The 27,210-nt window shown below is 37.9% G+C and overlaps 1 protein-coding gene and 1 pseudogene across 13 annotated transcripts in view, besides 1 other annotated feature; one reads left to right on the forward strand and one right to left on the reverse strand.

Annotated features, from left to right (window-relative positions):
* Nucleotides 1-27,210, reverse strand: part of NGLY1 (N-glycanase 1) — a 71,096-nt gene that overhangs the window by 32,623 nt on the left and 11,263 nt on the right. For all 13 annotated transcript variants that reach the window (NM_001145294.2, XM_005265317.1, XM_005265316.1 and 10 more), the window contains exons 2-3: nt 27,008-27,122; nt 12,500-12,745 (exon numbers count right to left, since the gene is read on the reverse strand). In NM_001145294.2, coding sequence (NP_001138766.1) covers nt 12,500-12,745; nt 27,008-27,122 — 361 coding nt within the window. The remainder of the gene's footprint in view (nt 1-12,499; nt 12,746-27,007; nt 27,123-27,210) is intronic.
* Nucleotides 68-582: an enhancer, noted in NCBI's record as "NANOG hESC enhancer chr3:25793125-25793639 (GRCh37/hg19 assembly coordinates)". NCBI's record gives its function as "activates a minimal SCP1, AML or CMV promoter by ChIP-STARR-seq in naive H9 embryonic stem cells {active_cell/tissue: H9 hESC(naive)}" and the evidence as "EXISTENCE:reporter gene assay evidence [ECO:0000049][PMID:30033119]".
* On the forward strand, nt 3,327-5,974 carry TAF9BP1 (TATA-box binding protein associated factor 9b pseudogene 1; annotated as a pseudogene).

A 27,210-nucleotide genomic window follows, 5' to 3' on the forward strand; every position in this document is an offset into this window, starting at 1 on the left:
TAATGGCCCCTTCCACTTTAAATCCCTGTAATGTACAGCAGTAGCAAAAGAGGTGTGCTCTTAAAGAACCAGGAATTTTGAGAAGTTCCTGAAAGAGAAAAGGCAAATATGAAAGGACTAAAGGAAGAAACCTCCAGAGAGGATGGTGATGAAAAGTAAAAAAAGTTTCCAAAATAATCCCAAGGGCAGAGAAGCCATAGGATCTACAGAATAGGAAGTGTCCTCAGGGCAAGCATTAGGAAGAGTGGTTGGACTCTGGAGGAACAGCTAATTATCTCGGCTTCTCCCTCCTTGTCACCTCATCAACAAAGAGGTCTGCCTCTGAGCAGTAAGTGTGCATACTTAGAGTCACAAAAGGAAAGGGGAGTAACCAAGCTCAGAACTGTTGCCACTGGCACATCCCACTGTGCAACATGTACTGCCCTTCTCCACAGCTGTTAGAAGCAAATGCAGTATTCACAGACAAGCTGGCAGGACCTCTCAAATACATATGGATCTACAACAACTGTGGGGGAGATGCATGAGAATCAGTATCAGAAGAACTAATCCTGTAGCAATGACAGCAAATACAGAAAAAACTTTAAAAAGTTTCAATAGTACACTATATTCAGAGAAAGACTCAACTATAGATCTTGGACGTAAAAATTTTATTTATTTATTATTATTATTTTTTTGAGACAGAGTCTCACTGTGTTGCCCAGGCTGGAGTGCAGTGGTGAGATCCTGGCTCGCTGCAACCTCTGCCTCCTGGGTTCAAGTGATTCTCCTCCCTCAGCTTTCTGAGTAGCTGGGAGCACAGGTGCCACCACCATGCCCAGCTTATTTTTGTATTTTTAGTAGAGATGGGGTTTCACCATATTGGCCAGGCTGGTCTCGAACTCCTGACCTTGTGATCCGCCCGCCTCAGCCTCCCAAAGTGCTGGGATTACAGGCATAAGCCACCACGCCTGGCTAGATATAAAAATTTAAACATTAAAATAAAGAAGAAGCCAGGCACTTTGGGAGGCCAAGGTGGAAGGATTACTTGAGTAGGGAGTTCTAGGCCAACCTGGGTAATACAGCAAGATCCTATCTCTTAAAAAAAAAAAAAAAAATTAAGTAGTCAAGCATAGTGTTGTGTGCCTGCAGTCCCAGCTACTCAGGAGGCTAAGGTGGGTAGATCGTTTGAGCCCAGGAGGTCAAGGCTACAGTGAGCTGTGACTGCCCTACTGCACCCAGCCTGGGCAATGTAGTCTCAAAAATAAATTAATAAGTAATATAAAATAAATAATATAAAATAAAGAAGAAAGCATAGATGGTGTCAAACGGTAGAATAAACATGGCTAAAGAGTGATCAGTCAATTAATAACCAAAGGCATTTTCTGAGAATGAGGATAAAAAGAACAAACAGACATTGAGGATAAATCCAAAACTTCTCACATCCAGTTAAGGGAAATTCCAGAAAGACAGTAAAAACAATGGAAGAAGGCAACTGCTCAAAAAAAAACAGAAATAAATTTCTCATAGCTGAAGAGCTAGTATGTATGGAAAACAAAACAAAAACAAATGCTAAGCATATAATGATGACATTTTACAATAGCAAGGCTAAAAACAAAATCCTAAGAGTCTTCAAGTAAGAAGAAACATTACACGCAAAGAAAAAATTATTTGATGTCAGATATTTCATTGGAAACAATGAAGCAATTTTTTTTGAAAATCTGAGGGGAAATGATTAGGAACACAGAATTCATTCCCAGTTAAACTAATCATGTACAGGGGCAAAATAAATATATTTTCTGATATGTAACAATACAGAAAGTATATCACTCTCAAATCCTATCTAAAAGAATTATTAGGAAAGTTATTATAGCCAAAAAAAATATAGCTTACATAAATTTTTAAAAATAAATACATACTTGGGAGTAGGATCTAAATAAAAGCACCAGTACAAGTTTCGATTGGTATAGATAATCACAACTGGAAAGCAAAATCTCAATTTTTTCATAGGAAAGGTAGCAAGGAAGGGAGCAGAACAGAGGTTCTTGTCTTATGGGAAGATGTTGGTAGAAAAATATAAAATTAAAAACTTACATTACAGATTTCAGGTCAATAATTAAAAGACTAAAAAGATTATATTTAACTTCCTAACTCTTAAAGGAATAAACCTATTATAGAAAAAAAACTTCATCTAAACAAAACAGGGAGAAAAGAAAAAAAAGCAAGAACATAGACAACACAAAATAAGGTATCAGAAATAAGTTTAAACATCTTAGCAATTAGAATAAATGTGAATGGGTTAAATGTGCATATTGCAAAGTAGAGACAGGTCGATAACAACAACAAAAAACCATTACCAAATACTTACATGTCAGGCACTGTATTAAGCACTGGAATGGGTGCACAAGACAGACATGATCAATTTAAGGTCTATAGGGAAAAGGTATTCAACAAATAATGACAGACCCACCACAGTAACTCAAAAATATTTGTCTGTGTGTGAATGTGTTAGATACTGGAAAAATAATGGAGACCAAAATAGATATGGACATTACCCTCAAAAAGCAAGTAGTCTATGGATACAAAAACAAGCAAATACTGATAATGTTCATTTACTCAAATTTTATCCTTTATTTGCTAGGTGCTGGGGATATAACGGTTAAAAATTAATCATAGGGATAAATATTATTAAGCAAATATATAGCATAAAATGAGACTTTACAACAAGGTCCTTGAACCTGAACTTTTTTGTGGCACAATAGGAAGGATGAGAAGAAGCTAACAAAAAGGGAAGGAAAAGACCATTCCTGTCAGAAGGAACAGCACAAAGGTAGATGGGGATTGCTTAGCATATTTTGAAGGATCAGAGAGATCAGTGTTTAGTACCCAGAGAACTAAGGGGAAAGCAGTGGAGAGATAAAGATCTTTCTGGTCGCTTTTCATTGCAATGATAAGCCATTAAAGAGACTTAAGCAAGAAGAGTAAAACGATCTGATGTGTTTTCAGAATATCACTTTAGCCACTATGCAGAGAAAGCAGGCATCAGAAGACCCCATGGGGGACTACTGCAGAGCTCCAAGAGAGCTGGTGGTTTAAATTAGGGTAGTTTTACAACTGTTAGGAAAAAAAAAAAAGCAAATGGATATGAAAAGAACTTAGGAAATAAAATCAATAAGTTTTGGTGACTGTACTATGAAGTCAAGAGTATTTGGAAAAGGAAAAGAACACATTAGAGATGACTCGTGCTTTTTTTTTTTTTTTTTGATACGAGCAACTGGGTCAGCACTTGAACCACTTGCAGCAGGAGAAAAACCATGAAATGACCAACTAAGTTAAAGACTACCAATAGGCTCTCTCTCCGGATAACGAGTGGCTGGATAACATGGAATTGGGCAAGATGGCACTTCCCAAGAACGCTCCTAGGGATGCCTTGGTGATGGCACAGATCTCGAAGGATATGGGAATCACAGACTACAAACCAAAGGTTATAAATCAAATTTTGGAATTTGCTTTCCGAAATGTGACTACAATTCTGGATGATGCAAAAATTTATTCGAGCCATGCTAAGAAACCTAATGTTGATGCAGATGATGTGAGACTGGCAATCCAGTGTCGTGCTGATCTTTTTACCTCTCTTCCCCCAAGAGGTTTCTTACTGGATATTGCAAGGCAGAAAAATCAAACCCCTTTGCCACTGATTAAGCCATATGCAGGACCTAGACTCCCACCTGATAGATACTGCTTAACAGCTCCAAACTATAGGCTGAAGTCCTTAATTAAAAAGGGACCTAACCAAGGGAGGCTAGTTCTACGATTGACTGTTGGTGCTGTTAGTAGCAAACCTACCACTCCTACTATAGTGACCCCACAAACAGTGTCTGTCCCAAATAAAGTTTCAACTCCAATGTCAGTGACAAGCCAAAGATTTAACAGTGCAGATTCCACCTTCTCGGTCCACACCTGTCAAACCAGTTCCTGCAATAACTGCAGTTCAAAATGTTCCAACTAATCCCTCAATGATTGGGCCCAAAAATATTCTTATTCCCATCAACATGGTTTCATCATAGAACACAGCCAATGAAGCAAACCCACTGAAGAGAAAAACATGAAGATGATGATGACAATGATACTATGTAAGGAATTATAGTCTAGTCTAGATGCATTTCAAAAGGAAAGCTGGTTTTGAGCCCAATATACTGAACTAGAATATTCTAGATCTTCTCGTTTTACCTTAAAAGACTTTCATATTAGTTAAAACTGTTAGATCTCTTTAGTAAACACACAAAATGTGCTTTTCATTAGGCTTCAATTACAAACAGTTAAGTACTTGTTTCTTAATAGTTTCATTAATGTTGAGTCCTTATATGGCAATTCTGTTTTTGAGACACTTTTCTGCCTTTTATCACTGACAGCAGCACCTAAGTTTTAGGTTCTACAGCCTGGTCAGCAGATTTATCTTTTACAGCATGATTTCTAATCTACATTTAAATACTACTTTATTTTATAAGGTAATATAGCCACTTTTGTTGTCACTAGCTTTTTTATTTTTACCAAATCTCTCAATTTAGGAAACATTTTTGGAAAGAGTGGATTTAGAGGAGAGATTCTAAATCCATTTTGAATGTTTTTGTTTCTTGGCCTTCCTTAATTCCCCAACTGAACTCCCTTTCTAAATCCCATTCATTTTCTGCACCTACCCCATAGGTTTGTTTCTCTCCATTGTTCTTAAATGTAAAAGGCCATACCTGGAATTTAAAAAATATCATTCCTGGTAATACAGCTCAGTGTCATTTTCATATTTTTAAAACATTCTCTATATGCCTAATGTTTTGTGATTCACTTTAACCTGATGGCTTGCATTTGCTGTTTTTCACTCTATGTCAGAACAGTTGGGTTTTACTCCTTAGTTTTTATGCCTGTTGAGCTTTCTGTGCTTTTGACAGGTAGTTTTGGGTCAGTTACAGTTTTAGTCTTATATTCCAAGTTGATAACTCTACCATATTTCACATTTCTAAATTTAACAGAGATGCTATAGGTTAAAATTTGTTTTGATAAGTAATTACACTGGACCTAGGCAAAACCAATGAAGAACAAGTGTTTTCTTCCCTTTTACCACATACACGTATGTTTTGATCACTGCTGCTTGAGTCCTCCAATTGGTATAATTCAGATCACATTTTTAGCTAGTTGCTGAGGATATCACATATAAGATGGGATCAAACCTGAAAGTAAGACACTAATGGTTCTCCATCCTCTAAAAGGCCAACAAAGAAAATAAACTAGTGTGGCGTGATGTGACTTGCATTTATGTGCACTCTGCATTGGTTTCCCAATAATACTGTAATATTGCTGAACACTTTCCCAGTTTTCCTCTTATACACATCTTAAAGTCATATTGGGAAAGATGGAAAGCTTTCGAGAATATAAACAGACCTGTTTTGTTTTTCTTAAGTTCAACATATATTTGCAGACTTTTGTAAAATAAATGTTCATATCATAATTTAGAATTTATAGCCAAGGATCCTCAAAACAGAAGTTTCATCTTAGGCTAGTGCTTGATATATCTAAGAAAAAGTCCAGTAACAGAGAAGAAATGTCTCAAATGTCTCATCAGTTTTAAAGTTTTTTGATATTAGGGAAAGGTAATAGAAAAACAGGTAAAATGTATAAAAATAGACCTGATCAACTTCATAGGAGATAAATATTTGTTATATAGCATAGGATATCATTACTTGAATGTTCTCAGGGAGGAAGCAAGTCAAAAGGCCTAGGTTCTAGTCCTAGCTCCATCATTCACCAACTGTGTGACCTTACTTCACCTCTTAGCTTTGCTCTCAATAGTAGTAGGAAAATAACACCTACCCTGCCTACCTCACAGGGCTGTTGTAAGGGTTCGACTGGTATACGTGAAAGTTCTTTCAAAACTGTATAATACTATATGACTGTAAGGAAATATTAATGTATTTGTTCCAAGGCTATTAATAAAAATTTGAGCTTAAAAGAAAAAAGACTACCGAATGGTAAAAACCAACTGAAAAAAGTCAATTAAATTTGGCAACATGGAAATCACTGACCATAGTAAGAATACAGTCTAATGATAGCATTAATAAGGAAAACAATTTGCAAGAGACTGAGTCATACAAGTGATGTGCAACAGTGGGCTTGCTAAGCTGTAGCAAAGGAGCTGTACAAGAAGGTCCACGAGGATGTGGACAGAAAGTATGAGAATTTCTGTTTATATTTTGTCTGACAAGTAAAACAATTAAGTTATAATAATATTTACTATCTGAATTAACAGTGCCTCCCTCACAGACTGGAGAAGCTACCCTGAGGTAAGAGAAAAAAATGTCATAAAGTCAAAGGGTTAACAGTGGCACCCGCACTCCTACTTCTGCAGCTGTCATGTGACAAAGCTGTGCAGTTCAAATGTACTGGGTTAAGTGGAATTACAGATTATATGATTTTAACTAAATTAATCCTCAATCTAGCTTAAAAAGATTACAAAGAACTCTAGGCCCTAAGGCCAATACTAATAATAAGAGCACACATTAACAAAGAGAAAATGGCAGGGCAAACACATCATCTGCTTTTTTGGCATAAGCACTTCAACAGCTACATTTTAGTGCAAAAAAGAAAATCACTAACAATCTAATGAGATCTAACAAAGCCCCTTAAATTCAAAATTATCAAGACTATTTTAAATATGGATTTGTATACATTCATTAGGTAATATAGTATTAATAAATTTTTTGGTGGAGCATGGTGGCTTATGGCTATAACCCTAGCACTTTTGGCAGCTGAGGCAGGCGGATTGCTTGAGACCAGGAGTTCCAGACCACCCTGAGCAACATGGCAAGACCCTCATCTCTACAAAAAATAAAGAAAAATTAGCTGGGCTTGGGGCACACACCTGTAGTCCCAGCTACTTGGAAGGCTGAGGTGGGAGGATCATCTGAGCCCAGGAGGTCAGAGCTGCAGTGAGCTGTGATCATGCCACTGCGTTCCAGCCTGAGCGACAAAGTGAGACCCTGTCTCAAAATAAATAAATAAATTTTTTTGAATTAAACATATTATTTACTATTTAGATCCTCTTTACATTGTCTTATAATGTGAACAGTATATTGCCGTAGTAGTACATGTATATAACACATAAACAAATGAACAAAAATATATTGACAATATGTGCTGAAAAATATTTTACTGATAGGGCATATAATTAAAGTATGGAGATCCACTAGAAACGTATATAAGAAATAAAGATGCAACAATGAGTACTGGGAAGAAGAGGTGAGAAAGACAGGGCATGGAGGACCAGGGATATTTGTATGTTGCCTTGTTTCTAAGATAGGAGAGCTTAAAGGTAAAGCTCTTAAACATTAACCTGCTTGTTAAAAATGTAGATTCTAAACTTCACCCCTCTTCCATTTTGATTCAGCCAGCCTGGAATTATGTTCAGAAATTTGCGTGTGATTCCAGTGGAACAACCTTAAATGAAAACTGGCCTAAAACAAGGTTTAAATGCCACTAGGAAGATTCCCCAAGAAAAGAACAGGTCCAAGATGGGGCACTGTCCATGTGAGATTCCATGGTGAACAGAGGAGAAGGGATACAGGGAGAGAGGAGCAACTGGCCTTTATTAAGAGCAGACACATTGCCTCCATTACAGAAGAGATGGGTACAACAGCTGACAAAAGAAATGTAGAGTTGGTGATGACAAGTCTGGGGAATTCGCCATGGAAACAAATATGCTCCTTTACTAGGATTAGTATAGAAACAGAAAAAAAAAAAAAAGAAATGTCTCCATTTTTATTTGAAAAAATTCATATTAAAATGAAGCACTTATAGTGTCTCATTTTATTTTTCTTAAATGCAGACTTTCATTTACCAAGAAGGTAAGAATTCATCCGGAGTATTTTTATTTTCAATTTAATTCTTTTCAATCTGGAAATTACCTCATTCATTGTAGTTTTAATGGCACTCAAAATATTTTAAACAATAAAGTTTATATTCTTGCCTTATTTCTTTACATATTCATTGGCACAACTCTGAAAAAACTAAGTCATAAAAATAGAAAGTTGCTGATTACATGGTGATTACAGCAGCTGGGTAACCATGTACTAATGCTACATAAGGCAGCAGTTAATTGAGAGACTAAAGTTACTTAGAGTACAAATGGAAGTTTAAAATGTGAAATCTGTTGGTTTTAGATCAAAGAGATTTTTCCTTCACTAATCATACTTCCAATTATTTTGATTTCTGATATGAGATATATTTAAGACTTCATAAGAAAAAAGTACAATGTGTATAATTTTGTCAAATCGTGGTAATTAATCAATGGAAGTTAGATTAGCAAATTCACTTCTTTAGTTAAAAAAACACACACACACACACACACACACACAACAAATCAAGGCTTGAGCCTACTTGCCCTCTCTTTAATTTTATGCAACCCTTTATTTTGAGGCTTTAAAATTTAGAACCTGTTTTTAGACATAAAAGTTTTGTTATTTTAAATATGTTTTAATCAACTTGTGACTTCAATAAACTTATTTAAAGAAAAACTTTTCTATTTATAAAGGTAATACATGTTGCTTCAAAAAATATTTCAGAAAATACTCAATAGTATAAATAATATGAAAGCACCCATAATTTCATCACTCAGAGTACATTATGGTTAAGATGTTTGTGTATGGCCTTCCAAACCTTTAAAAAAATGAACATATATATATATGTATGTGTGTGTGTATGTTTCTAATAAGAAAAATCAAAATATTACACATATACAGACAACATATGTTGTTTAATTTTGGAATTCTCAGTTTACCTTTTTTCCATATAATAATGTTATTCATGTCAAAACAGATCACATCTTCATTTTTAACATACGCTAAGTATGCTGATATAAGGACACAATGTAATCCCCTATCAGAGGGCATGCAAGTATTAACTTTTAAGAGTGGTAGGTTCATGAAAAAGAAAGTGGATGTTTAAATCTTATGTTCAAATAGGTTTCTTCTCTTACAAAGCTAGCACACAGGCCGGGCACGGTGGCTCACGCCTGTAACCCAGCACTTTGGGAGGCCAAGGTGGGCGGATCACCTGAGGTTGGGAGTTCGAGACCAGCCTGACCAACATGGAGAAACCCCGTCTCTACTAAAAATACTAAAACTAGCCAGACGTGGTGGCACATGCCTGTAATCCCAGCTACTACGGAGGCTGAGGCAGGAGAATCACTTGAACCCAGGAGGCAGAAGTTGCGGTGAGCCGAGATCACGCCATTGCACTCCAGCCTGGGCAACAAGAGTGAAACTCTGTCTCAAAAAAAAAAAAAAAAAAAAAAAAAAAAAAAAAAAAAAAAAAAAAAAAAAAAAAAAAAAAGCTCGCACACAGATCTAGACTAAGACTAAGAGGTTGCCTTATTGTTGGTTTATGAGATAAAATTAGTTTTAAAATTAACTAGTTCGTTTTATTATTTATCATTATCTGATAATATATGACTTTTATAATTTCAATGAAATAATCACAAATTATGATAATTGGTTTAAATAAACACATACCCATATATAAACTGGCAGTAATTTCTAGAGTGATAAAGAGTTGATGAAAAGTTCCTAACAATTTCATATACATACTCAAAGTAGTCATGTGCTAAATAAAAGCATACATTTAGATTAGCTGAGTAAAAAGTACTAAATGTATATTTTAAGCATATTATACTTCAGAATCACATTTTCAACCGAGATAAAGTTGTGAAGCTGGAAACATAATGCTTCTAACATTCTGAGGTACCATGTCATTGAAAAATTGTCCTTGCTGTTTTGAATCTGCTTTTGGAAGGCAATGGGTATAAAAATAAAGGATTATCAGAAAGTTACTTCCATTAGGAACACTAAACACTTAGCATGTACAACCAGCAAGTTTGAAAATCAATTAAGTCATCAGGCAAATGCAAATTAAAACCAAAATGAACTACTACTTAACAACCACTAAAATGGGTATACTAAAAAAGACAGTAACAATGGTTGGTGAGGATACTAAGAAACGGGAAGCCTCACATATTTCTGATGATAAAGTAAAATGGTACAATTTTGAAAAACAGCTTGGTAATTTCTTAAAAACATAAATATAAACTTACCATACAACCCAGTGGTTCCACTCCTAGGAATCTACTCAAGAGAAATAAAAACATATGTCTACACAAAAATTTGTATGTGAATGTTCACAGCAGCATTATTCATAATAGGCAAACATGGGAAACAACCCAAATGTCCATCAACTGATGAATGGAAACAATATGTGGCATATCCTTAAAATGGAATATTATTCAACAATAAAAAGGAACAAAATACTGATATATCCTGCAATACGAAGAACTTCAAAAATGTTACACAAAGAGCTAGAAACAAAAGATTACATACTATAATTCTATTAACATAAAATGTCCAGAAAAAGTAGCAAGATTAACTTTCTAACAATCACCACCACTATCATCATTTATTGAGTATCAATATATTCCAGTATTTTGTATCTTAAAAGCTTACTGGCAAACGTCAACATCAGTGACTATCATCTTAACTTATACATCGACATTTTACTTGATATAGTTTTAACCAAAAAAAAAAAAGTTATAAGTTCACTAGGACTTATCTAGTTTATACACAGGTTAAATGCTTTAAAAAATATCTCTCTGGCTCCCTGACTTTGGTACATTTTAATTCTCAGTATCTCCACTCAAAATGGGCAAGGTAGAAGAAAACTGTCAAATTCTGTAGTATAGCAACTAATGATGAAAGCATAATTAACAAAATACTTTAAAGAAATACATATATTCCAGTGATCCACGAATAACCAAGAGTTGTCTATGAAAAACAAGATTCATTCTAATTTCTCTCAACTTCAACACAGAAGATATTTTGTGTGAAGGACTAGAGTAGTAAGAATTGATATACACTAGCCTACTAATAGCATACACCTTTGAGAAAATTTATTTTCTTCTACACTAGAATGTGTTTTGCCAACAGAATGACATTCTGTTTTTAGTGTAGTGTTTAGAGGCTTTCTGGTGACGGACAGGATTTTAAAGACCTGGAACTATATCTGAATTGTAAGATTAAGAACTTAAAAAAAGGGCTGGGTGTGGTGGTGCACATCTGTAATCCAGCACTTTGGGAGGCCAAGGCAGGTGGATCACTTGAGGTCAGGAGTTTTGAGACCAGCCTGGCACACATGGAGAAACCCCGTCTCTACTAAAAACACAAAAAATTAGCCAAGTGTGGTGGCAGGTGCCTATAATCCCAGCTACTCGGGAGGCGCAGGCTATAGAATCTCTTGAACCCAGGAGGTGGGGGTTGCAGTGAGCCAAGATCGTGCCATTGCATTCTAGCCTGGGCAACAAGAGTGAAACTCCGTCTCAAAAAGAAGAAAAAACAAAAATTAGCCAGGAGAGATGGTGCATGCCTTTATTTCCAGAAACTCAGGAGGCTGAGGCACGAGAATCACTTCAACCTGGGAGGCAGAGGTTGCAGTGAGCCAAGATTTTGCCACTGTACTACAGCCTGGACAGAATGAGACTCTGTCTCAAAAAAAGAAAAAAACAAAACAAAAGAAAAGAAGTTTAAACAAGATTAAGAAAATGTGAATGGCTTTCCTGAGCCAGGACACTAACAAAATACTACTTAGCCCAGGAAAGAGATATTTTGTAAAATAAAATGTTTGCAAGCTTTTTTGCAGATTGGTTAACTATGTGCATTTTAAACTATAATACTGCAATTAAAAAGATAAAGTAGGAAATCTTAAAAGATATATTCTAACACTGTAATTGGAAAACTCCTAAGAAAAGGTGTTAAAAACCAAGAAAGATGTTAAGTGAGCTTCTGTAACTGTACCAACCTTAACTGCAAAACTGATGAAGACCTAAGGTATTCAAAATGGAATGCACATGATCTCAGGGAGGGGCATAAAAATCCATTGAGGTGCTTGTTAGACTTACAGAAATATCACAAGAATTTTTCTGACAGTAAAAACTTAGGAGAAGAATATGTAAGGACCTTGGTCAAAAGAGATTTTTGTAAACAGGATAATTTCCTATCAAATGGAATCATTTCAGTTTATCAAGAATGCCTGTAAGTTTGACTTTAGTTCTTCACAAGTATATATGGTGTATATTAATAATAAAATTTCACTAATTTGCTAGCATCCACTATCATTAAATTAATGCATTCTTAATTACCTTAAACCTAAAGAAGCTTTTTTATTGAATTAAGGTATTGATAATGGTTGTGCTGTTGGAAATAACCCCCACAGTGAAAGGCAGCAGGTACAATTTAGATCAGAAGTATTAATGCAGTAGAGGAAATCTGACAATTTTTTAAAGAGCTGAAGAAATTTGGATGTTTTAGAGTTATAAGAACTAAGAACAAAATATGGGGCATAAATTCAGGAATAAATCATAACACATTCCAAAGCTTTTGCTGTTTCAACACTTTGAAAGAAACAGTTAAAGAAGGTTTAATTCTAACATTACCGTTGAAGCAGATGGTGGATCTGATGACTGCCCTTGACGGTTCCTTGTGTGCTGGTTTAACCCACTGGGATTTGAAGATGGTGTTGTAGGAAGCTGGGTACTGGCTGCAGGTTGCTGAGATGACTTTACTTTGTGGCTCTTATTTGAGCCATCCAGTCTGCTACTTCTCTCTATGGCAATCAGGTCACGAATTTTTTGCAGCTGCTCCACTGAAGCTTTTTTAGGAAAGATGAGATGTGTTTCTCCCTGGAATTTATAAAATTAAAAAAAATGTGAACCTTTGCTTTATGCAGTCATTCTTTTGTGCACACACACACAGAAATGTATAATGAAACCAATAATATAGAATGCATGTTTCTAAAATCATACTGTTTTCTTACCATTATGGTTCTTTTTAAATACAGCCTAAGGTAAATAATGCCTAAACATAAACCAGAAAATTAAAAAAAAAATTATCTCCTTTTTGGCATTTAATCCTTAGCCTATTTAATGTGGTTCAAAGGACTTTCAGGAAAAAATATTTGATCTTCTAGAAACAATAAGTCAGAAGGCCTCATAAGGGTTGCAAAAATGCATATTCCTATCCTCTCTGCAATAGTATATGATACTACTATTCTCTATGAAATTCCCTATGAAATAATAATGACAGTAGAGATACAGCCACACAAAAGAATCCAGGGTCACATAAAACCAACAAGAAGTTATCTAACAACCTTTGAATCTTGTTAATCTGAGTCTTTAAAGAATAGCTACATGATTAGAAGCCTGTGTATGGGGTCAACTAATTTTTCCACGATAACGAAAAGTACACCCTGATAGTCAATCCAAAACTATGGATGGTTAACAGTAATAGGAAGGTAATCCGAACAAAACAAAAGAAATAAAAATCATGTATTTCAGTAGTGACTCATTTAAAGAATACCTATAAATATGCTAAGAATGCTTTAAAATAAAATGCTACAACAAATTCTATAATGTAAAACAGTAAATTACTCAAAACAAGAAAAAAGGTGAAATGAAATGACAATGTATTTGATCAAATTTCCAGGTATTGAAAAGAAACAATGTTAAAAACAGTAATTTCTCCAACTGCAAACAAGATAAAAAGTTGCAGCTGGGCATGGTGGCTCACGCCTGTAATCCCAGCACTTTGGGAGGCTCACATGGGCAGATTACCTGAGGTCAGGGGTTCGAGACCAGCCTGGTCAACATGGCAAAACCCTGTCTCTACCAAAAATACAAAAATAAGCTGGGCATGGTGGCGGGTGCCTGTAATCCCAGCTACTTGGGAGGCTGAGGCAGGAGAATTGCTTGAACCTGGGAGGCAGAGGTGAGCTGAGATCGTGCCACTGCACTCCAGCCTAGGTGACAGAGCAGGACTCAGTCTCAAAAAAAAAAAAAAAAAAAAGTTGCAACAGTCTGTAGTACACAGACCTGCAGATCATGAGCATTTAAATTAAACTCCAAAATCGACAATATTACTGTATTTCCCTGGTGATGGCAGACCTACAGGAATCAACTGAACAAGACATTACTCAATGACATGAAAGTCAATTCCATCTGAATCCTTTTTAAAAAGCTGGATTAGACCAGCAAGCTCCACGTATGATTCATAATTGCTATAAAAAAGACAACTACAATGTATTGTCTTTGTGTGTTCTAAGTACTGTGCTAGGCATTTTTTTCTCTGAGGCAGGGTCTCCCTCTGTCACCCAGGCTGGAGTGCAGTGGAGTGATCAAAGCTATAACCTCAAACTCTTGGGCTCAAGCGATCTTCCATCCTCAGCCTCCCAGCAGCTAGGACTACAGGTGCATGCCACCACACCTGGATGATTTTTATTTTTTGGAGAGACAGGGGTCTCACTCTTTTGCCCAGGCTGGTCTCAAACTCCTAACCTCAAATGATCCTCCCACCTCAGCCTCCCAAAGCAAAATGCTGGGCGTTTTAAATACATCATCTCAAGTAATACAACTACCCTGAAAAGTAGGTATTAGATTAATACTTTTTTTTTTTTTGGAGACAGAGTTTTGCTCTTGTTGCCCAGTCTGGAGTGCAGTGGTGTGATCTCGGCTCACTGCAACCTCCACCTCCCAGGTTCAAGCAATTCTCCTGCCTCAGTCTCCCAAGTAGCTGGGATTACAGGCATGCGCCACCACACCTGGGTAATTTTTGTATTTTTTAGTAGAGACAGGATTTCACCACGTTGGTCAGGCTGGTCTCAAACTCCTGACTTCAGGTGATCCGCCCACCACAGCCTCCCAAAAAGCTGGGATTATAGGCGTGAGCCACCATTCCCGGCCAATACTCACATGAAAATACAAAGGCTCAGGGAAGTTAACCTGCTTGAAGCCACAGAACAACTGGCAGAGCAGGGATTCAGACTCCATGACCTTAATCGTTATGCTATAAATGACTCCATCTTTGACTGAACAGAGACTGAAACCCATGAGCTTGCACAAATAGTTGAAGGGAATGAGCGGAGAACATTTGTACAACTGTAATGATTAGACGACTGGCACAAATTGTAACACAACGACTTTTTCAACCTTAGAAAGAATCTTCTTATATCTAGGAGGAGGCCTAGGAAGAGAAACCAGACATCTGGTTTAAAACCAAATATGAAGGCATCTGATCTCATAATGTTACTGGAACAGCACTGAGAAAGGCAAACAACTCCATGGACAGAGAAGGAAAAAGAGCATGACAGGTTATTTAGATGTAGGTCTCAGTCCACAACTCAGACAGGGCCCCAGTAAGACAGATACGCTGCTCATGCCATGCTCCCTTCCCTTCAGTCCCTTTACAACCAGTCCTAAAAGAAGATATAATTATGGCCAAAGTGTCTATATCAAAAAATTTAACCAACAGCACTGTTATTTTCATAAATGGACAAAATTATAAGCTTAATGCACTAGATTTAATAATATTTTAAGAAATCAAAAAGAGGCCAGGCGCAGTGGCTCACGCCTGTAATCCCAGCACTTTGGGAGACCGAGGCGGGCAAATCACAAGGTCACGAGTTTGAGATCAGCCTGACCAACATGGTGAAACCCTGTCTCTACTAAAAATACAAAAATTGGCTGGGCGCAGTGGCAGGCAACTATAATCCCAACTACTCGGGAGGCTGAGGCAGGAGAATCGCTTGAACCCAGGAGGCAGAGGTTGCAGTGAGCCGAGATCATGCTACTGCACTCCAGCCTGGGCGATAGAACTAGACTCCGTCTCAAAAAAAAAAAAAAAGAAATCAAAAAGAATTCTAGTATTTAACAAATTTGTTTCTCAAGGCATTTTTGTTGAGACAATTCTTATTACAGGATATTTAGCAAACCTGACCCTGACCACTAAATGCTGAAAATATCGTCCAGTCAATAAAACAACCAAACTGCCCTAGCAAATTTCCCGTACTCATCTTCAACAGGTTGAAGAAAGAGGTGCAGGTGGAGGGGGCAGGTATGGCTCCTGGTGGAAAACTACTCCACTGAGATAAACTGTAGGGTCACAGATCCATTTGGATCCTAATCTTTTTCATTTCAACATCACTCTCAGAAACTGTCATAAAAAAGAATGCAGCCTCAGAGACAAGTGGGCCTAAAAGTATCCAGAATTTTAATATACAGTTGAAAATTTTGGGATAGGTCTTAGGTTCATACTCCATTTACAAAAGCCCACCATGCTGGGAAAGTTAGATATCCATATGCAGAGGAATGAAACCAGATCCCATCTGTATCTTACCATATACAAAAATCAAATCAAGATGGATTAGAGGCTGGGCGGGGTGGCTCACGCCTGTAATCCCAGCACTTTGGGGGGCTGAAGCAGGTGGATCACTTGAGGTAGGGAGCTGACCAGCCTGCTGGCCAACATGGCGAAACCCCGTCTCTACTAAAAACACAAAAATTAGCTGGGCGTGGTGGCAGGCACCTGTAATCCCAGCTACTCGGGAGGCTGAGGCAAGAGAATCACTTGAACCCCAGAGGCGGTGGTTGCAGTGAGCCAGGATCGCACCACTACACTCCAGGCTGGGCGACAGAGCAAGACTCCATCTCAAAAAAAAAAAAAAAAAAAAAAAAGATTGGCCAGGTGTGGTGGCTCACGCCTGTAATCCCAGAACTTTGGGAGGCCGAGGTAGGTGAATCACCTGAGGTCAGGAGTTCAATACCAGCCTGGCCAACATGGTGAAACCCTGTCTCTACTAAAAATACAAAAAAAATTAGCTGGGCATGGTGGCGGACACCTGTAATCCCAGTTACTCGGAAGACTGAGGCAGGAGAATCACTTGAACCCGGCAGAGGCTGCGGTGAGTAGTGACTGTGCCACTGCACTCTAGCCTGGGCAACAAGAGGTGAAACTCCATCTAAAAAAAAAAAAAAAAAGATGGATTAGAGACTTAAGTGTAAGACCTTAAAGTATAACCTTAAACTGTAAGACTACTAGAAGAAAATATTGGGAAAACACTTCAGGAAATTGGTCTGGGCAAAGATTTCATAAGTAAGACTTTTTTTTTTTTTTTTTTTTTTAGCGGAGTCTCACTGTGTCGCCGAGGCTGGAGCACAGTGGTGCGATCTTGGCTCACTGCAACCTCCATTCTCCTGCCTCAGCCTCCCAAGTAGCTGGGACTACAGGCGCCCGCCACCACGCCCGGCTAATTTTTTGTATTTTTAGTAGAGATGGGGTTTCACCGTGTTAGACATGGTCTCAAACTCCTGACCTCATGATCCGCCCACCTTGGCCTCCCAAAGTGCTGGGATTACAGGCGTGAGCCACGGCGCCTGGCCTCATGAGTAAGACTTTAAGAACACAGGCAACTAAAGCAAAAATTGACAAAAGGTATCACATCAAATTAAAAAGCTTATGCACAGCAAAGGAAAGAACAATGTGAAGAGACACACTAGAAAGTGAAAGAAAATATGTGCAAACTATTCAAATGACAAGGGATTAAGAACCAGACTATAAAAGGAACTGAAACAACTTAATAGCAAAAAACAAATCTCATTTAAAAATGAGCAAAAGAGGCCGGCGCATTGGCTCACGCCTGTAATCCCAGCACTTTGGGAGACCAAGGTAGGTGTATCACTTGAGGTCAGGAGTTCGAGACCAGTCTGGCCAACATGGTGAAACCCCATCTCTACTAAAAATACAAAAGAATTAGCCGGGCATGATGGCGTGCACCTGCAGTCCCAACTATTCAGGAGGTTGAGGCAGGAGAATCACTTGAACTTGAGAGGTGAAGGCTGCAGTAAGCCGAGATTGTGCCACTAGACTCCAGCCTGGGCAACGAAGTGGGACTCCATTTCAAAAAATAATAAATAAAAATAAAAATGAGCAAAAGATCTGAATAGACATTTCTCAAAGGAAGACATACAATTGGCTAACAGGTATATGAAAAAATGCTCAACATCACTAATTATCAGAGAAAGGAAAATCAAAACCACAATGAGATATTATCTTACTCCAGTTAAAATAGCTATTATCAAAAAGACAGAAAATAAATGCTGGCAAGGATGCAAAGAATCTTTATACATTCCTAGTGGGTATACAAATTAGTATGTAAACTAAGAAAAAGAGTATGAAGTTTCCTCAAAAAAACTAAAAATAGAACTACCATATGATCCAGTAATCCTACTGCTAGGCACACATCCAAAAAAAGTAATCATTTTTTAATGATCTTTAATTTTTTAAAAAAAATTCTTATGCTTAATTTTTAAGCATTTTTAAATTTCTTTTATTTAATTCTTTTTTTTATTTCAATAGGTTTTTGGGGAAGGGGTTGATGTCTGGTTACATGGATAAGTTCTTTAGTGGTAATTTCTGAGGTTTTGAAGCACTTATCACTCAACTAAAAGTATAGTCTTTTATCCCTCGCACCCTTCCCACTTTTCCCCTCTCCAAGTCCCCAGAGTCCACTGTATGATTCTTAGGCCTTTGCATCCACATAGCTTAGCTCCCACTTATAAGTGAGAACATATAATGTTTGGTTTTCCATTCCTGAGTTACCTCACTTAGAATAATGGTCTCCAATTCCATCCAGGTTGCTGCAAATGCCATTATTTCATTCTTTTTTTATAGCTGAGTAGTATTCATAGTATTCCACTTTTTTGTTTGAGACAGAGTTTTGCTCTTGTCACACAAGCTGGAGTGCAATGGCATGATCTCAGCTCACTGCAACCTCCGCCTCCCGGGTTCTAGTGATTCTCCCCTCAGCCTCCCGAGTAGCTGGGACTACAAGTGCCCGCCACCATGCCCAGCAAATTTTTGTATTTTTAGTAGAGATGGGGTTTCACCATGTTGTCCAGGGAGGTCTTGAACTCCTGACCTCGGGTGATCCACCCACATCAGCCTCCCAAAGAACTAGGATTACAGCCATGAGCCACTACTGCCTGGCCTCCACATTTTCTTCATCCACTTGTTGACTGATGGATTGATTCCATATTTTTGCAATTGCAAACTGTGCTACTAAAAACATGCGTGTGCAAGTATCTTCTTCATATAATGACTTCTTTTCCTCTGGGTAGATATCCAGTACAGGAATTGCTAGATCAAATGGTAGATCTACTTTTAGTTCTTTAAGGACTCTCCATGCTGTTTTCCATAGGGGTCATACTAGTTTACATTCCCACCAACAGTGTAAAAGGGTTCCCTTTTCACCAACATCTATTATTTTTTGATTCTTTAATTATGGCCATTCTTGCAGCAGTAAGGTGTTGTCACACTGTGGTTTTGATTTGCATTTCCCTGATAAAGATGTTGAACATTTTTTCATGTTTATTGGCCATTTGTATATCTTCTTTTCAGAACTGCCTATTCATGTCCTTAGCCAACTTTTTGATGGGATTTTTTTTCTTGCTGATTTGTTTGAGTTCCTTCTAGATTCTAGATATCAGTCCTTTGTCGGATACTTAGTTTGTGAAGATTTTCTCCCATTCTGTGGGTTGTCTGTTAACTCTGCTGATTATTTCTTTTGCTGTGCAGAAGCTTTTCAGTATAAGCTCCATCTATTTATCTTTGTTTTTATTGCATTTGTTTTTGGGTTCTTGGTCATGAAGTCTTCGTCTAAGCCAATGTCTAGACTAGTTTTTCTGATGTTATCTTCTAGAATTTTTTATGGTTCCAGGTCTTAGATTTAAGTCTTTCATACAGCTCCAGTTGATTTTTGTATAAGGTAAGAGATGAGGATCCAGTTTCAATCTTCTACATGTGGCTTACCAATTATCCTAGCACCACTGAATAGGTGTCCTTTTCCCACTTTATGTTTTGTTTGCTTTGCTGTAGATCAGTTGGCTGTAAGTATTTGGCTTTAATTTCTGAGTTATTTATTCTATTCTATTGGTTTATGTGCCTATTTTTATGCCGGTACCATGCTGTTTTGTTGACTATAGTCTTGTAGTATAGTTTGAGGTCAAGTAATGTGATTTCTCCAGATTTGTTTTTTGGTTAGTCTTGTTTTGGCTACGTAGGCTGCTTTTAAAAATTTTAGGACTGTTTTTTTCTAGTTTTATGGAGAATGATGATGGTATTTTGATGGGAATTGCATTGAATTTGGAGATTGCTTTTGGTAGTATGGTCATTTTCACAATATTGATTCTACCCTTCCATGAGTATGGGATGTGTTTCCATTTGTTTGTGTTGTCTATGATTTCCTTCAGCAATGTTTTGTAGTTTTCCTTATAGAGGTCTTTCATGTGGTTGGTTAGGTATATTCCTAAGTATTTTATTTTATTTTATTGCAGCAATTGTAAAAGGAGTTGAGTTCTTGATTCTCAGCTTGGTCGCTGTTGGTGTAGAAATAGTGCTACTGATTTGGGTACATTAATTTTGTATCCTGAAACTTTAATGAATTCATTTATCAGCTGTAGGAGCTTTTTGGATGAGTCTTTAGGGTTTTCCAGGTATATGATCATATCATCAGCAAACAGCAACAGTCTATTCCTCTTTACCAATTTTGATGTTCTTGATTTCTTTCTCTTGTCTGACTGCTCTGGCTAGGACTTCCAGTACTATGTTGAATAGAAGTGGTGAAAGTGGGCATCCTTGTCTTGTTCTGGTTCTTGGGGGAATGCTTTCTACTTTTCCCTGTTCAGTGTACTGTTGGCTGTGAGTTTGTCATACAAAGTTTTGATTACCTTAAGGTATGTCCCTTCTATGCCAATTCTGCAGACCTGTCTAGTGCTGTCAGTGAGTATTGAAGTCTCCACTATTATTGTGTTGTTGTCTATCTCATTTCTTAGGTCTAGTAGCAATTGTTTTATAAATTTGGGAGCTCCAGTGTTAGGTGCATACATATTTAGGACTGTAATGTTTTCCTGTTGGACTAGCCCTTTTATCATTAAATAATGCCCCCCTTTGTCTTTTTTTAACTGTTGCTTTGAAGTCTGTTTTGTCTAAGAATAGTTACTCCTGCTGGCTTTTGGTTTTCATTTGCATGGAATATCTTTTTTCACCCCTTTACCTTAAGTTTATGTTAGTCTTTATGTATTAAGTGAGTCTCTTAGAGACAGAGAATACATGGTTGGTAAATTCTTACTCATTCTGACATTCTGTGCAGCATTTAGGCCACTGACATTCAATGTTAGTACTGAGATGTGAGGTACTATTCTAGTGATCATGCTAGTTGTTGTGTGAATACTTTGTTTTTTTTTCATTATTTATTGTTTTATAGGTTCTGTGAGATTTATGCTTTAAGGAGGTTATAATTTGGTGTATTTCGAGGTTTTATTTCAATATTTAGAGCTCCTTTTTAGCAGTTCTTGTAGTGCTAGCTTGGTAGTGGCAAATTCTCTTGGCATTTGTTTGTCTGAAAGACTATCTTTCCTTCATTTATGAAGCTTAGTTTTGCTGGATGCAAAATTCTTAGCTGATAATTATTTTGTTTAAAGAGGCTAAAGATAGGACCCCAATCCCTTCTAGCTTGTAGGGCTTCTACTGAGAAATCTGCTGTTAATCTGATAGGTGTTCCTTTTTAGGTTATCTGATGCTTTTGCCTAAGAGCTTGTAAGATTATTTCCTTTGTCTTGACTTTAGATAACCTGAGGACTATGTGCCTAGGTGATGATCTTTTTGAGATGAATTTCCCAGGTGTTCTTTGAGCTTCTTATATTTGGATATGTAGATCTCTAGGAAGGCCAGAGAAGTTTTCCTCAATTATTCCCTCAAATATGTCTTCCAAACTTTTAGATGTATTTTCTTCCTCTGGAACACTAATTATTCTTGGGTTTGGTCATTTAACATAATCCCAAACTTCCTTGGGGCTTTGATCATTTTTAAAATTCTTTTTTGTCTTTGTTGGATTGGGTTAATACGAAAGCCTCATCTTTGAGCTCTGAAGTTCTCTTCTACTTGTTCAATTCCATTGTTGAAACTTTCCGATGCATTCTGCATTTCCCTAGGTGTGTTCTTCACTTCCAGAAGTTGTAATTGTTTTTTATTTATACTATTTATTTCTCTGGAGATTTTTTTTCATCCATATCCTGTATCACTCTTTAAATTTCTTTAAGTTCTCTGGTGTCTCCTTAAGTAACCTAATAATTGACCTTCTGAATTCTTTTTCTGGCAATTCAGAGATTTCTTCTTGGTTTGGATCCATTGCTACTATGCTAGTGTGATCTTTTGGGGATGTTAAAGAACCCTGTTTTGTCATATTACCAGAATTGTTTTTCTGGTTCCTCCTCATTTAGGTATAGACTATGTCAGAGGAAGGATCAGGGGCTCAAGGGCTGCTGTTCAGATTCTTTGGCCCCATGGGGTGCTCCCTTGATGTGGTGCTCTTCCCTTCCTCTAGGAATGGGGCTTCCTGAGAGCTGGACTGCAGTGATTGTTATTGCTCTTCTGGGTCTAGCAAACCAGTAGAGCTACTGGGCTCTGAACTGGTATTAGAGAGTGTCTGCAAAGAGTCCTGTGATGTGATCTGTCTTCAAGTCTCAGCCATAGATACCAGTACCTACTCTGATGGAGGTGGCAGGGGAGTGAAGTGGACTCTGTGTGGGACCTTGGTTGCAGTTTTGTTTAGTGTGTTGGTTTTCTCGAATTCCAGGTGTGCTGGTAGTAAAGCTGTCATGCGATTGGACTCAAGACCTCTGGTTAGCCAGGATGTTACAGGTGGTGGAATTAGCTGTTGTATTCTCTTTTCTTGGGGCAGAGTTGTTCTTTAATGAGTTGCTGTAATGGTTTCAGTTGGTTGGCCCCCAGCCAGAAGGTGATGCTTTCAAGACAGCATCAGCTGCAGTAGTATCAAGAAGATGTAAGCTTGCCCTAGGGTTGCCTGCATAAGTATTTGGGTTTCTCAGGCAGTGGGCAGGGCCATAGAGTTCCCAAGAGATTATGTCTTTTCTCTCAGAAAGACCATCAGGTGAAGGCAGGGTTAGGCATGTCTGAGAGCAGACTCTCTTTGGGTTGGGCTTGTTGTGGCCACTGTGGCGGATGGGGGTGTGGTTCTCAGGCCAATGGAGTTATGTTTCCAGGGGGATTACAGCTATCTCTGCTGCATCATACAGGTCACCAGGGAAGTGGGGGAAAGCCAGCAATAACAGGCCATACCCAGCTCCCACACAGCCAGAAGGGCCAGTCTCACTCCCACCATGCTCCACCAATAGCACCATGTTTATATCCAGGCAGTGTACGCAGGGTTGAGATTTTGCCCCAGGCTACAAGTCTCCCCACTGAGAAAGCAATCAGGGTTTTCAGGCTTCACCCCTCTCCGTCTGCCTTGGCTTCTGTGCTTGTATCTGCAGTATCTGCATTTCCCATTTGCCACCTCCCCTACACACCCCAGTCCAGGAAAATTCGTGTTCAGCTGCAAGTTTCATTCTCCCTGTGGTCTTTCCCCAATTCCACTGGCAGCCCTCCCCAAGGACCCCTGTGAGATAAAGTCAGAAATGGCTTCCTTGGTGGCCAGGAGTGCCTGCAGGCTCTTCTCGCTGCTTGTTCTACTTTTATATTTCACTCAGCTCTCTAAATTAATTTCAGCTCTAGGTAAGGTTAAACCCTTCTCCCGTGATCTGGATTTTCAGGTTCCCCAGTGGACTTTCCCCGTCACACTTCGGGCACTCACAGGTTTTCCTCTGTCTCATGGAATTTGCAGCAGCAAGCTGCTTTTTTCAAAGGGTCTGTGAATTCTTTTGGTTTTCCTGGTATGTTCCTCTAGTATTTCTCAGAGCAAAAGTTCACGATGTGAGTTTCCAGGCACTGTTCTGTCAGTCCAATTGGGAGCTGCAAGTTAGTCCTGTCTCCTATCCACCATTTTCCAAAATCAGCATATTGAAGAGGTATCTGCATTCCTATGTTTACTGCAGCACTATTCACAATGGCCAAGATATGGAATTAACCTAATTGTCCATCAATAGATGAATGGATAAAGAATATGTGGTATCTATACACAACGGAATATTATTCCACCATAAAAAAGAACAAAATCCTGTCATTTGCATCATCATGGATGGAAATGGAGGGACATTATGTTAAGTAAAATAAGCCAGAATTCAGAAAGACAAATAACACATGTTCTCACTCATATGTGGGAGCTAAAACAATTGATCCCATAGAAGAAAAGAGTGATTGTAAAAAGATATTACAAAATTAAATAAAAATTTAAAAAAATAAAGAAGAGTGGAATGGCAGTTACCAAAGGCTTGGAGGGATAGAAGGGACTGGGCAATAGAAAGAGATTGGTTAATGGGCACAAAATTACAGTTAAATAGGAGGAATAATTTCTCATGTTCTATAGCACAATACGGTGACTACGGTTAAAAACAATTCATTGTATATTTCAAAATAGCTAGAAGACAGAATTTTGAATGTTTCTAACACAAAGAGATGATAAATGTTTGAGATCATGGATGTTCCAATTACTCAGATATGTTCATTACACATTTGTATGCTAGCATCAAAATATCACCTGTACCCCATAATGTACAACTATTATGTATTCATATAATTATTCTTTAAAAAGTCCACCAACTTTCTTTTTGGTGGTAGAGTTCAAGTCCTGAGGTGTGATGTCTAAAGCCGAACAGAAACTTTAAGTATAAATTAGTCATATCAAAACCTGTTAATCTTTTCTGAGACTGTGACTCCATTTGCATCAAATACTTCTGCAAGTCTCAGTGTGGCCTGTTATTTGGCACTGCAGTGACCAACACTGGTTTGCCTGAGACCGAGGGGTTTTCTGGGATGTGGGACTTTCATTGCTAAAACCAGGACAGTACTGAGCAAACTGGAATGGCTGGCTACCCTACTTGGCACTCAAATATTTGCTGAATGAAAGACAAATCTAATTCTATCGAATATGTGACACTTCGACATGAGAAATGGGTAGAGTCTTCCGTTGTCATTTACTCAATTTTCCCAACCAATTTGAATCTTGAAAATTGGCATTTCCTTGAACAAGGAATTTTAAATTCTTTATGTTCGGATACCTTTGTATCATCTATAATCAGATGACACCATAATTTATATCCCCTGCCTAATCTCTCCTTTGGGGTTGTAAACTCATATAGCCAACTGCTTACTTGGCTTCTCTACTTGAATATTTAACAGCAAATTGGTCACAATTGTCCAAAGACAGGTGTTAGTTTCTCCCCTAAAACCTGCTACTCTCCAAGGCTTCTCTATCTCAATTAATGATACTCCCATCCAATTAGTTGCTTAAACCAAAACATAGGTAAGTCCCCGATTCCTTCCTTTCCCTTATATCTTACATCTAAATCACCAGTAAGTCCTGTTGATTCTGTCACAAAAAGAAATCCTGGATCCATCTACTTCTCTCCATCTCCACCATCAGTACTTAATTCAACAAATCTTTATTGAGTACCTAACATCTGTAATGCACCAGCATTATTCCAGGAGCTAGCAACACAGGGAACAGAAATGACAAAAAACCCTGCCTTCATGGACTTTATACAAACCACTACCATTTCTTATTTAGACTAATGTAATAAGCTTTCTAACCGGTCTCCCTGCTTCATCCCTTGTCCCCATCCCACCACCTCCAGGAATTCTCTTTACAGCAAGCTAGAATAATCTTCAAAAATATTTTTCCCTACTTAAAACTTTCCAGGCTGGGCACGGCGGCTCACGCCTGTAATCCCAATACTTTGGGAGGCCAAGGCGGGCGGATCGCCTGAGGTCAAGAGTTCGAGACCAACCTGACCAACATGGAGAAATCCCATCTCTACTAAAAATACAAAATTAGCCAGGCGTGCTGTCGTATGCCTTTAATCCCAGCTACTCAGGAGGCTGAGGCAGGAGAATCGCTTGAATCCAGGAGGCGAAGGTTGTGGTAAGCTGAGATTGCATCACCGCACTCCAGCCTGGGCAACAAGAGCGAAACTCCATCTCAAAAAAAAAAAAAAAAAAAAAAATTCCCAGTGGCTTCTCATCTCACTTAAAATAAAGTCTAAGTCTTTTGCCACATTCCTCAAGACCCCATGTGTCCTGGTCTCTGCCTCCCTATGCAGCTTATTTCTGTTTCACGGTTACTTCTGCTGGAAATCCTTTACACACATTAATCCTTCTGCCTGAAACACTCTTACCTGAGAGTTTCAGGTACCTGAGATGTTTCAAGTCACAGCTCAAATGTCATCTCCTCAGAGAGGACTTCCCTGACCACTGCCTGCCATGCAAAGTACTTTTTATTCTATTACCTGGTCTTATTTTCTTCTTTGCACTCATCTTGTTTTCACATCTACTGGCTGTTTAACCTACTAGAATGTAAGCTCTATGTGAGGTGGGATTATATCTACTACTTTGTTCACTACTGTTACTTCAGGGCCTGAAATGGAACCTGGGGAGGGAAGCAGAGAGGCATGAAGAAAAGTGAATCTTACATAGCAGCTCAGCATATCTCTTTAACAACTTCTACAATTGCCTATTCTGACGACCACTGACTATTGAGTCTCTGTAACTTGTTCAAGTTCTTTCAATGCTCTACAAAGGAGAACTAGTTAAGGATATAAACATAAAGAAAATTCAGAATCTTAATAACTACTTTCGATGTGTCATAAAATTAAACTACACCACAAGATTCCAAAAGATAACACCAAAATATTCATTTGAAGTAAAAACAAAAAAAAATACTGAGACTCCTCTCCTGTCACAGAAGAAACCCCTTCTGTGTGGCAGCTCAACTCAGTTTTTCTGTTTACTTCAGACTCTTTTCATTTCCTACTACAGACAGGTAGCTAGACTCTATTAGTATTCATGTGTGCTCACAAATCAGGTTTTAGCTAAAAGCCTAAAGTGAACCACATTTGGTCCTTGGGTTGCATGTATGACCCTTATTTTAAAGAACTGAGACTCGTAAGAATTTCTCTGTGGAGCGTTGTTACATTTTACTGAAATTTTAAACTATACTTGTTGTGATTTTTAAATGTCCAATCAATGAAGAAATAACTACTTCTACTGATTCCCAAAATGATAAATTAAAAAACATTATCTTATTCAAACAATTATTCACCAACATGATAATGGCTGCTTTGTGCATGAAGAGGGGAGAGGAAATCCTTGAACATACTTACCTCTTCAAAGCCCATTTCAAATAAACATTCAACAGCTCCTCTGACAGGCAAGAGTCTAGTAGAAAAGGCTGTGTTTCCAATCCGGATGGATCTATATTTTTCATCATTAGGGTTTCTGACAAAAAACAAAAGTTTGATTATATATAAAAAAAACCAGGTCATAGTTCTTCAAAGACTTTACTTTCAACAAACATGACCTAGGT

The sequence above is a fragment of the Homo sapiens genome, chromosome 3 (assembly GCF_000001405.40).
Source record: "Homo sapiens chromosome 3, GRCh38.p14 Primary Assembly".
Taxonomy (NCBI): domain Eukaryota; kingdom Metazoa; phylum Chordata; class Mammalia; order Primates; family Hominidae; genus Homo; species Homo sapiens.